Raw genomic sequence first — 12,705 nt, 5'->3', positions numbered from 1 at the left:
AGGTTGGTCTCAACCTCCTGGGCTCAAGCAATCTTCCTGCCATGGACTCCCAAAGTGCTGGAATTACAGGCGTGAACCACCATACCCAACACAACTTTTTATCTCCTCCTTTGGACTCTATTTTTGAAACTTTCTATAATGAGCATATATGCATTGCTTTTATAATCAGAATAAAGAAATATGTTATAAAAGTTTAATTGGGTGTATTGACCCTGAATGTTCTTATTCTATATTCCATGAGAGGAAAAATTAAATACAATCATAGCCTTGGGAGATTGCTTGGTGCCTTAGCAAACCGTTTCTGCCTGGACTCACAGGGGTACTCTGGGAGGGCAGCTAGAGGTACTGGGAAAAGGCCACATGGAGAAGGAACTCTCCAACTGAACTTTGTAACAATTTGAACTGATCAAGAAGCCTCCTGGCCAGAACTCAAGGGAGGGTGTTAATCTGGTGTGCAGACTCCACAGGCAGGAATAGAAGGAAAGCCATACTTGATTTCGCAGCTGGGAGGTGGGTAGCCTGGGACAAATTCTCCAGCTCTGCTCACCCACTGCCTGGAAACAGACTCAGTGCTTTTGGAGAGGGCATGGTGGAAGTGAGACAAGCCCTTTGGATTGTGTGGAGCTGGGTGAGGTCTGTGACTGTCAGCTCTCCCCCAGTTTCCCTGAAAACCTGCATGACACAGCAGAGACAGTCATAATCCTCCTAGGAATGTAACTCCATTGACCTGGGAACCTCACCCCAATCTCCCACAGCAGCTGTAGCAAGACCTGGCCAAGGAGAGTCTGAGCTCAGACACACTTAGCCCTGCCCCCACCTAATGGTCCTTCCCTACCCACCTTGGTCACTGCAGAGGGCATATACTCTTGGGAGTTCTAGGGGCCCGCCTATCACCTGTTCCTCCCCATTCGACCACAGCTGGTGCTCTCTGGAAAATGCCACCTCCTGGCAGGGGGCCAACCAGCACAAAAATAGTGCTAATGCTATTTCATAAATGATATTGAAGTTATGTTTTATGCAGTTATGGGGGAAGTGAAATATTACTATGGCATTTGCAAATTTAGAGAAGTCCTAAAGATCTTAGGTCACATCTCTTGAATATCAAGTGTCAATTCACACACCTCTAGACTGAAGATAATAATACCTGTATCTTATGATTGTGAAACCTAAATAAGATCATGTATGAAATAGGAGTGACAAAAATAAATTGAAATGTAGACGTGGTGTGACTTAATGGATTTACAGTTTGTGATTTAAGGTCAAATAATTCAGGCTGTTTGCTTTTGAAGTGGGGGTCCGTTTTTCCAAACAGAAGTCATTTAAACATAAGTAAGGATCTGTGGATACCAAGAAGCAATGATAGGAATTAATAAAGTATGCTACAGTTTAGGTTTTAATGACCTACTTGTAGACATTCCAATTAGATTCAAGTAACTTCTCTTTTTGATTATTGTATATTTTTTCTCTTTGTCTCAAGGATGTCCAGTATTGGATTTGATTCCAGTGACTTCTGTTGAGATCACATCTCTTGATTATCCTAACAGTTAACTCAACATGCTGAATTACACTTGGACTTTTTATTCCACAACAGTAAATAAAATGAAGGCCATGATTAAAGACTTTATAACAGAAGAATCTTTGAACTGTGATTGGGATTATATAATATTTATGATAGACCATATCAGCAATCAATTCTACTTTGTAAATTTATCTTTCTTAAATGGCCTACACTAACTGGCACCAAGTATTTATATAATGAATATACATGTAAAACATGACCTACATTGGCCTTGGGAACAATAGCATTTGTTGTCAGTGATTTCTCATCAGATCCTTCATTAGAATCCTATAGCATTATTGAGCACAGTTGGATGAGTATGAGATCACACTCACTGGATCTTTATTCCTTCCCAATCCTGGCTTGTCTTGACTTTTTAGTACAAAAATTCCTATCTCATTTAACCATTAGTTGGCACTCTTGGTTTTGTCCAGATGCCATATGTTTTAAAGGATTTTATTTCCTAAATGGCATTTTTAGATGGTAACTTTTTTGAAAATGTATTTACTCAGTGTTACCAGTATCAGGTTTTATACTCATAATATAGATGGCCCTTTTTAGACCTCAGATAAATTAAAGTGGAGAAAAGTTCCATTAGCCAGAATAATCTTTACCGATGAGTGGTGCTGAGGACTAAGAAATTAATGGTTGGAGGTGCTGGGAGTCAAACTCAGGGCCTTGTACATGAGAGGCACCTGTCTACCAGTGAGCTACACTCACTTACCAAGCTTGAATAATCTTTAGAAATGTATTGGTCACATAGTGTCTGTCATGCTTGAGCATTTGGCAGTATTCCATCATGAGACTGACTCATAGAGGGAAACTTTTTGAAACATTTTGTAATTGAGTATTGCATCAACTTCTCTAGTTTCCTCTTAGTTCTGCCACTTAGGACACCATTAAAATCCATTTATTGCACAGGTCAAGAGGAGGATTTTGATGCTTTCTTTTTCCAGGGACCTTGACCCCTCCTATGATAGTTCCAGATTTATAACACCATTAAGTTCAGAATTTTGCTTTGAAGTTCCAAAGTTGCCTAACTTTCCTATCAGTAAGTATGGCTCTTATTAGATTATAAAGCAATTGGGGTATGGAGGAGGGGAAGATTTATAAGTTCAAGCTATTGGTTTTCCTTAAGATGAACCATGGGTCTCCATAGCACCATACTCTTCAACCCTAATTCCTGTCAATACCCTTTCACCAAAGACCCTAGAAATGTACCTGTAGTTGAACAAATTGCATTTTGCACTCATTGCAGAGAGGGAGTATACACACCATGGAAAACCATGGGGTATCTCAGTAAGAAGGTGTTAGAAAAACCTATAATAGAGGTAGAGCTTTGGGTAATTTTGGAGAGGGTCTAAGGAAATGGACTTTGTTCTGAATTGGTTTCTGTCAGGAAGTAGAGCAATTTTACGATGGCTATCTCAGTCAAAAGGAGGCCTGGCTAGAGTAAGGATAAAACTGTAACTGGTAAAGCAGTAGCAGTTCCTCATTTTAGCCAAGAGAGGGAGGAGAGTGGTATTTTGGTGGTTGCACACAGCCGTTTTTTGTCTTACCTTATCATAGACTAGCACCGCCCTGTCTGCTGTTGATGTCCTGTGAGACAGTGTATGTCCAACAGGAAAATAACATGGTCCAGCTGCGAGCATCAGACCAGGTTCTCTGTATGTCAGGGACTGCTTTTCTCTTTCTCACTCTTTAATATTCTCCAAACTGGTAACATCATTCCTCTTTAAAAGCTCAGATTAATCAAAATTTCAGAGGTGTCAAATGATTACAAATGAGACAACCTGAATTTCTGTAATGAGCCTGTGTAATTCTATATAACAGTGAAGGGATTTGCATTTATTTGTGAGCTCGCACAATTTTACTTCAATGAACCATGCAATTTCTGTAAAGATTTTGGACCTAATGAATATAGACCCCTGTTGCTACTCTCCTGGCTTCCCCGTTAGCTAGGCTATCACCCCATTCAAGCTGCTATAACAAATACCATAGACTGAGTGGTTTCCAAACAACAAATATTTATTTCTCACAGTATGGAGGCTGAGAAGTCCAGGATCCAGGTGCCAGCAGATTTGGTGCCTGCTAAGGGCTCACTTTCTGGTTCTTAGGCACAGCCCATTCTCACTGGGTCCTCACATGGAGGAAGAGGCCTCTAACCAAGCACATTCTGTCTCAAGTTTCACGTCCTCAATCATTCAAATGCTACCTTACCTGAGACCTCCTCTATCATACAATCTAAATAGCCTTCCTTAACCTTTTCTTCTAGGGATTGATCATGGCCTGATGGAGTATTATCTTTCATTCATTTATAATTTGTCTCTTCTACCAGAATTAAAATTTCCTGGCAACAGAACTTTGTCTCTTTTGTTCTTGCTGTATCCTCAATGTCTAAAGCACTGCTTGACAGAAAATATTTGATTTTTAAAAGAAAAAGTGGAAAAAATGGCCCTGAATGAGGGAAGAGCTTGGTAACTTAGGGAACTGTCAGAGGTCAGAGTGACTAGAGAGAGATTGAGCAAGGACAGACTAGAATGAAGTGGGGTGGTGGAGCAGAGAGGCTTTCTCCAATTGTGCAGCTCAGGCTATGATAGTGACTTTGGATTTTATTCCAGTTCAATAGGAGGTCATCATAAGTTTTGACAGGGGAGTAATTTGAAGGCTGATCTGGAGTGACAAAGTGAATTGTGTCTATAGTTATGAGGCTCTTGTCTACACCTGCACTGTCCAATCCATGTTGCTATTTAAATGTAAATTAGTTAAAATGAAGTAAAATGTGACAATACCAACATTTCAAGTGCTCAGTAGCTACATGTAGCGAGTGACTACCATATTGGACAGCAAAGATATAGAAAGCTCCATCATTGCAGAAAGTTCTATTGCACTGTTTTAGACAATAGATGATGTTGCTTTAGAGGAGGATAACAATAATGGAATGCGAGTGAAGTAGACAGATCTGGAGATAGAATGGAGAGGATTTCCTGATGGATTGAATATGGAATTCAGTATGCAAATCAAGAATGACTCTTAGGTTTATGATGTGAGACACTGGAGAAAGCATTTATGGAGATGGAAAATATGACAGGGAGAAAAAGATTTATAGAGAGATATCTGTTTGGGCCATGCTAAAAACATTGCTCTGATATATCCAGATTGAGTTGCCACTAGTTAGCTAGAGATAGAACTCTTGAGCTAGTGGAGGATTTGGAGCTATAGATATCAATTTGGGACTTTTCAGTTTCTCACTAATTTAGTTATCCTTTCTCCTACATCGTCTATCTTCTCTATCATTCTCATCAGTTTCAAACATGTTCTAATATTATCTATCATTTAAAACAAACTAAAACTAATGTAAGTCAGCAATTATCCCATTTCTCTGCTTCCTTTTAAAGCAAAATTTCTCACTTTTTAAAGGGTTGATGGATTTAGGAAGTTTATGGGATCAATGGCTTAGAAGGTCATGGTGAGATTAAATAATTGTAGCAAAGAAATATTAATATACTTAGGAGGTGGTGATTTAGAAAGTGGGATGTTTGAACTAATTCCAGAGGTGTCAAATGATTACAAATTCAGAGCAGCGATAGTAAAGAATTAAAAGATAAAGGGAATCATAGTACCATAGTACTAGCTGAGTCTCACAAGTTCTTTACTTGTTGGTGTGCAATCTGGTTACTAAATATTTTGAATATCCCCCTTGGTCAAACACAAATTTAAGGAACGTTGGCAAACTGGAGTGCATCCAAAGAGCATAATGAGCAGGATGTAGAAGGGTGTGGACATCCTGGGCATGTTTACCTTGGAGAAGAGAGAAGACAGAAGGATCATAATTCTTTTTAAATATACATGGAATTCTCATGGAGAGGTTCTCAGGCCATGTACAAAACTTGTTCTGCTTAATATTATCTAATAACTTATTAAATATTTACCATTATCCAGGCATTGTTGAGCTAAGACCCAATCTCATGAAGATGAAAACTCTTAATCTTTTAACAATCTTATGTAGGTAGGTTACATTATCTTCATTTTAAATATGAGACAAGCAAGTCACAAAACTGTTAAATAAATTGCCTCCAGTGACATCGCTAATAAGTAGAAAACGTGGGACTCAACTGAAGCACTCTGTGTTCTTGGCCACTATTCTAACCACGTGGTAGTCATCACATTGATGCCTTTTGACACAAGGAGAGGAAGAACAGTCTAGAAATTAGATCAGTTTAAAAGGAGAAAATGCTGATAAGTTCCAGGTCATATCTTCAAGGCGAGCATTATATGTTTTGGATTATTTTAGAGTAAACTCTGTATTAGGTGTAATGTTCAACTTAATAATCTAGGAGCCTGTATTTAAACTAGCCCCTTTTCCAGCCACCTATCTTCAACCTACAGGCTTTATAAATGTGTTTTCTGTATTTCTGTCTAAGTCATCAATGAAATACCGTACTCGGTGGAACCAAAGACAGAATCATTTCCATACCATTTAGACCTTCCCTCCAGGTTAACATTTCTTGTATGGTTATTTAATCACCTGTGGAACTTCCTAGCCACATAATTATCTACGTACCATTTGCTGTCTGTTCACAGGGACATCACAGGCACTTTATTAAGTGCTTCATTGAAGTCAAGGTTCATTAAGTTCATCCCATTCCCCCTAGCCACCATCTAATTAGCTCTTTTAAAAAATGAAATTAGGTTAATTTAATGTGGCGTGTTAAGGATCCCATGTTGCCTTCTCATGACCACTGATTCCTCCTCCAAGTGTTCAAAAACCATCTGTCTAATAATTTGCTGTAAAAATTTTGCTGAGGTTTATTTTCGTTTAACAAATATGTATAATACTTTGTAAATACCAACTGATTTAATCCTAAGAAAATATTGTTTTTATCTACATTTTGCAGATGAGAATACTGAGGCACAGACAGAGATTGAATAACTTGCCATATAGTTAATATGGCAGGTTATTATGGAGTTATTATCTCCATTTTGCAGATGAGATTATCGAGGCACAGAGAGAGGTTGAGTAGCTTGCCATATAGTTAATAAGGGATAGAGTTGGTTCAAACCAGCAGTTTGGTTTTAGAATCTGTGCCTGTAAGCACTAAGCTATGTCCCTTCACTGACAGGACTTTGGAAACCCCTACACCTCTCTGTTTTTCTCTGTCTCCTACCTACCGCCTTATGCTCCCAAACATCCTTTTTGAAAAACAGAGTAACAGTTTCCTGTTGGGAACAGGCCCCCCAAAATCTGGCCATGAACTGGCCCCAAAACAAAATCTCTGCAACACTGTGACATCTTCATGATGGCCATGATGCCCATGCTGGAAGGTTGTGAGTTTACTGGAATGAGGGCAAGGAACACCTGGCCCACCCAGGATGGAAAACTGCTTAAAGGCGTTCTTAAACCACAAACAATAGCATAAGCGATCTGTGCCTTAAGGACACACTCCTGCTGCAGATACTAGCCAAACCCATCCCTTTATTTCGGCCCATCCCTTTGTTTCCTACAAGGAATACTTTTAGTTAATCTATAATCTATAGAAACAATGCTTATCACTGGCTTGCTGTTAATAAATACGTGAGTAAATCTCTGTTTGAGGCTCTCAGCTCTGAAGGCTGTGAGACCCCTGATTTCCCACGCCACACCTCTATATTTCTGTGTGTGTGTGTCTTTAATTCCTCTAGCGCTGCTGGGTTAGGGTCTCCCCGACCGAGCTGGTCTCGGCATTTTCCCATTTCCATTATTTTAAAACTTCCAGGTTATTTGTTGGTTCTACCCAGAACCCCTTTACTTGACATGAAAGCATCTCCAAGGTTCCCCATCACTTCCATTCCACCAGATAGAGCTGCTTTGAGGATAAGGACGATGTAGAGATTAACTACTCCCCTCCTTTCTTTCTCGGATTTCTGAGATACCGTTATCATGAAGACAAATCAATAGTGTTTCATTGTTTTATTTTAGGAGAACTTAAATGTACAGCAAATGTCCTGTTACTATCAGGACCACCTTTGTGCCAACTTCTGTGTTTCTGAATTTTAAAAGAATCATTATTGTGTTTTAGAGCAGATTGTCCCATTACTTTTGTGTCTCTGTCTAGTTATCTTCGCGCAAATGCCCTTTTTTCCTCCCATCCTTAGGATAACAGATTGCCATACAAGTGTGTACCATTTTTTCTATCAGGTCTTTCCCTTTGATCTTTTAAAAGCTATACTCTTCCATTGTGGCACTCAAATCATGAGTTCCATCCTACAAATCTTGATCTTGTATTCCTGACAATCATTCTTTTGTTAATATCAACAGTTTGGAATTTAATGTTACCTCTTTGTCCTCTTTCAGTTATGTCATTGCACAGAAAAAGTACTTTAATTATCGAATATGTCTTTCATTGCAGCTCATTTACATGGCTCCAAGAAAGAGTTTATCTTGATATCCAGTGCTGCTTACCTGACTGTGCATTTTAAGACTGATGAGTCTGAGAGAAAGAGGTTTTAAGCTTATTTTAGAAGAGATGATTCAGGAGCAATCACAGAAGAGCAATATTGAGACCCAATTTCCTATCAGTGGTAAGTAATTGCATTAAAATGTTTATTAAAGCAGATACTGCATAAGCTTTGAAGTAGAACCTGCAGCCCATTGGTTTAAGGGTCACTAGTAGTCTCCCTACTAAAAAAAGAAAAGGATATCTTCATTTCAAACCATTCCTTAAGGCATAATACTGGTAGTTCCAAATGAATCATCTGAGGTAATAAAGTTAATTTGTGTATGTGCGTTTATTATTTTTAAGAAATAATGATAAACACGAAAGTCAGTCATTTGCTATTTAAATGACCCAGTGGGGACATTCAAGCCAAAACAGAGTTCATTGTATTTCCATGTCTCTCTTACCATATCTCTTCTACCAAGTAGCTACCCCTCACCCTCATAAAGTTCCCAGAAGAGAATAGATTAGCTGAACATGTACTAACTTCTCTGAATAAAATAGAAACAAACTTAATGATTTTCTACTTATCCAATCTACTTTTAAGCCATAATTTCATCAGTTGTGCTTAAGATTTAAAAACCTAATTAATTTGTTAGTTTATGCTCCCACTGATATAGTCTTCATCTTGCAAATGAATGAACATATTAGGTGAATGAAACTTTCTGTCCTTCAACAATACACATACCATCAATTAAAAACCTAATTAATTTGTTAGTAGGAGGTCCTCTTGATTAGAGTGTAATTCAGGTGGAATTCTAATGACCAACCTTCAGTGAAATGTCCTTCTTGACATCACTTTGTCTTTTTTAAGACAGGGGAATGAATGGGCTCTTTGAAGAGTCCTTGATTTGAGCCTCATCATTCTGTAGGTGAGACTTTGAATAGTTTAAGGGATGCTCATCTAATTGACCTTTCTGTCTCCATTGCTTTTATCCTTCCATATTTCATCTCTAAATTGACCCTTCATTCTCACAGTAAAAATATTTCTATTGCCTCATTTCTTTAAGTCTTCCTTTTTTGCAGGTTGGATACTAATAAAATATTGCTGTTACACATGTGTACAAACAGCCCAAAGGTCTAAGACTGAGCATATAATGTGGATTAAAATCCACCCTTAAACCTTAATGCAGTGAAAACAGTTTTGAGTAAACAACTTTTTTTCCTAAGATCTTGGATAGTCTTTTGAGGAGTTTGCATGATTTTGGCATATATATTTAAAAGGAGAAGAGAATTGATGTTTTATACATATCTGAAAAGGAAGTAGAAATGAGTTTTAACATAATATTGAATAAACAACACAAATCCACTGTGCTAGAAACTTTTTGTTTTAAATACATGTCTGGTATGAAATAGAAATCTCCAGTAAATAATTATATAAATAAGCACATATCCTAATTCTCAAATTTTTGTGTATATTTAAGAAAATTCATACTTAAAAACATCTCTTGGTTTTTAGTTACTAAAATTATTTCCTGGAGAATTTCTTTTTAAATTTGAGAATGGAATAAACACAGTGCTGGAAATTTTCCTTATATGTGTTCTTTATATATATGTTGTATTTTGAATACGTGTAGTGTAAAGTGTTTTGATAAGTCTAGATATCTGTTACACTGGAATAACACAAATAATGCCACAGAAAGAACAATGACCAATAATTTCATGATTAGATGCAATATTTTTATTTTAAAAATCAGTTTTATGTTTTGAGTATCCTAAAGATGCATATATTAATATTTTAGTTAACTTTATTGATCTTCTTATTTTAAAAGCAGTGCAAGAAAAGGTAAGTCTCATCTCTTGATCAGAATCCTAGTTTTGAACCTAAGAAATGCCTCCATTCTGAAATTTTAATAGACTTTTATAATTACTTTTATATAATGTTTTGTTATTACTTTTCTAAGGGATAACAATAGAAAACAATACAGGAAGTTGGCCAACCCAAGACAAACGTAGCATTCCAGCTGTTGACCAATTTCGAATGGAAAATTCGGACAGAAATACAAATGTGCTGCCAGCCATGCTTGGAGAGCCTAGGTTGGTTGGTAGCTGTGCTGCATCTGCAATGTCATGGCCCTGGCTAGTTAGTCTGCAGCACCCAGACAACATTATTATAGAGGCTCCCTGGCCACAAAACAGTGGGTCCTGGCAGCAGTGCATTCTAACTTTAGGTCTGTGCCTGTGCCTGTGGTGCAGGGTCTCTGAGACTGCTTGTTCAAGGGCTCACAATGGGTGTACCCATCTGCTCTCCCTATGTCACAAGAAACATTAAAGTTTATGCTCCCGCTGATATAGTCTTCACCTTGCAAATCAATGAACATATTAGGTGAATGAAACTTTCTGTCCTTCAACAATACACATACCACTAATAGTTTTTCATTTTAAAAGCTGCTTTTGGCCGGGCGCGGTGGCTCACGCCTGTAATCCCAGCACTTTGGGAGGCCGAGGCGGGTGGATCATGAGGTCAGGAGATCGAGACCATCCTGGCTAACAAGGTGAAACCCGTCTCTACTAAAAATACAAAAAATTAGCCGGGCGCGGTGGCGGGCGCCTGTAGTCCCAGCTACTCGGGAGGCTGAGGCAGGAGAATGGCGTGAACCCGGGAAGCGGAGCTTGCAGTGAGCCGAGATTGCGCCACTGCAGTCCGCAGTCCGGCCTGGGCGACAGAGCGAGACTCCGTCTCAAAAAAAAAAAAAAAAAAAAAAAAAAAAAAAAAAAAAAAAAAAAAGCTGCTTTTTCCTTCCAGCTCTTTTTAAAATAAGTGACTAACAATGCTGCCCTCTCTTTCCTCATCTATAAAATGGAGATAATGATGTCTTAACATGTGTGCATCAGCTTCTGAACATATCACCTAGAGCACTGGAGTTGCTAAACGGTGGGTCTCCTTCCTCCTTGCTCTCCTCTACTGACTGATCATCATACCTGCTCCCAAAATAAATATAGAAAGTTCTGAAAAATTTTAAAGAATGCTCTTGGAAAGAAAATTTTTTCTTTGATTTCATCTGAATCTTGTTTCCATGTGATATTGAGACATTATCTGAAAATTCCTTCCTCAGTTTAAAGGTTGCTCAGTACTAAAATTCTGATATTTCTAATATTGGTCTCCCAGAAGTAGTGAGATGGTTGAGAACATCACATGATGTCCCATAGCCAAATGATTAAATATAATGTTTTCAGTGTCTTCAAAGTAGCAGTTCCTTCTATCTGCTCAAATAACTTGGTGAGCAGGACCCTTCAGTGAATCAAAACCTCATTTTCTTTATCATCCCCCAACTTTACTCTTGAATAGGTAAATCTCAAGAAGTCATCCTTATAAGGCAATTTTCAGACTTTCATGTGTTCAAAACTGTTTGGGGAGTTTGCAATCAAATTTTAGAATCATAATTTTGAGTTTTGATTTGATGAGTTACATCAGATTCTAAATTTTTAAGGCAATGCCAGACTTAATGCATAGTTCCTAGACACTTCTTTGAAAACCATTTTACAGGGAGTAAATATAACTTTCAGAATATCTTTCAGAGGCCATTATATAAGTGTATAACATCTATTATTATAATTGTAATAATGCACAGAATCATTATCTTGAGGCATCATGCATCTTAAAAATCATATTTCGTTGGCCAGGCGCAGTGGCTCATGCCTGTAATCCCAGCACTTCGAGAGGCCAAGGCAGGTGGATCATGAGGTCAGGAGATCGAGACCATCCTGGCTAACACGGTGAAACCCTGTCTCTACTAAAAATTAAAAAAAAAAAAAATTAGCCGGGCATGGTGGCGGGCACCTGTAGTCCCAGCTACTCGGGAGGCTGAGGCAGGAGAATGGCATGAACCTGGGAGGCGGAGCTTGCAGTGATCCCAAATTGTGCCACTGCACTCCAGCCTGGGTGACAGAATGAGATTCCATCTCAAAAAAAAAAAATCATACTTTGTTTAGTATTATGGAGGAAAGAAAATATATACATTAAAATTTTTCTCAGGGATTAAAGTTATTAAGAGAAATCCCTATTTTCCAAGAATTCAAGACAATAAAATTTTTAATATAGATTAGAAATGTAGACTGGGCATGGTGGTTCACACCTGTAATCCTAGCACTTTGGGAAATGAAGACATGAGGATCACTTTGGGCTGGGAGTTTGAGATCAGCCTGGGCAACATAGTAAGACCTCCATCTCTACAAAAAACTAAAAAAAATTAGCTGGGCATAGTGGTGTGGGCTTGTAGTCCCAGCAAATCAGGAGGCTGAAGACAGAATCACGTGAGCCCAGAGTTTGAGGCTGCAGTGAGCTATGATTATACCTGTGTACTCCAGATTGGTGATAGTGCAATACCATATCTCTAATTCTAAAAAGAACAAAGAGAAATGTAAAATAATATATTTTTAGTAATTATGAAAAATGACTATGACCTCATTAAAAGAAATGTCTATTTCCTCACTCCCTTATGACAAATACTGTCACAGACAACCTGGTAACAGAAAGAAGTTACCTCTGGAACATGGGAAGCAGTGATTTGATACCAGTGAAACCTCTCTATACTCACCTTGGCTTTTCACAGTTTTGTCCTCATGATGATCTATACTGTTGCATCTGGAAAAACGTATTGAATTTGGTCTGTATGGGTAACTCTTCTATATTTTGAACCTTTGCCATACAGCTTAATATCTTTCATCTTG

The 12,705-nt window shown here is 38.2% G+C and overlaps 1 protein-coding gene and 1 long non-coding RNA gene across 5 annotated transcripts in view; one reads left to right on the top strand and one right to left on the bottom strand.

Moving 5' to 3' along the window:
• The window catches only part of OVCH1-AS1 (OVCH1 antisense RNA 1), a 98,031-nt gene that overhangs the window by 56,079 nt on the left and 29,247 nt on the right, over window positions 1-12,705 (bottom strand). The window lies entirely within an intron of this gene.
• Window positions 1-12,705, top strand: part of OVCH1 (ovochymase 1) — a 95,519-nt gene that overhangs the window by 66,441 nt on the left and 16,373 nt on the right. For both annotated transcript variants that reach the window (XM_024448968.2, XM_047428780.1), the window contains one exon: window positions 7,948-8,119. In XM_024448968.2, coding sequence (XP_024304736.1) covers window positions 7,948-8,048 — 101 coding nt within the window. In that variant the 3' untranslated portion in view covers window positions 8,049-8,119. The remainder of the gene's footprint in view (window positions 1-7,947; window positions 8,120-12,705) is intronic.

Source organism: Homo sapiens, chromosome 12 (assembly GCF_000001405.40).
Source record: "Homo sapiens chromosome 12, GRCh38.p14 Primary Assembly".
In the NCBI taxonomy this organism is placed as follows: Eukaryota; Metazoa; Chordata; class Mammalia; order Primates; family Hominidae; genus Homo; species Homo sapiens.
The sequence above is the reverse complement of the archived record's forward strand: the minus strand, read 5'-3'. Positions and strand labels throughout refer to the sequence as shown.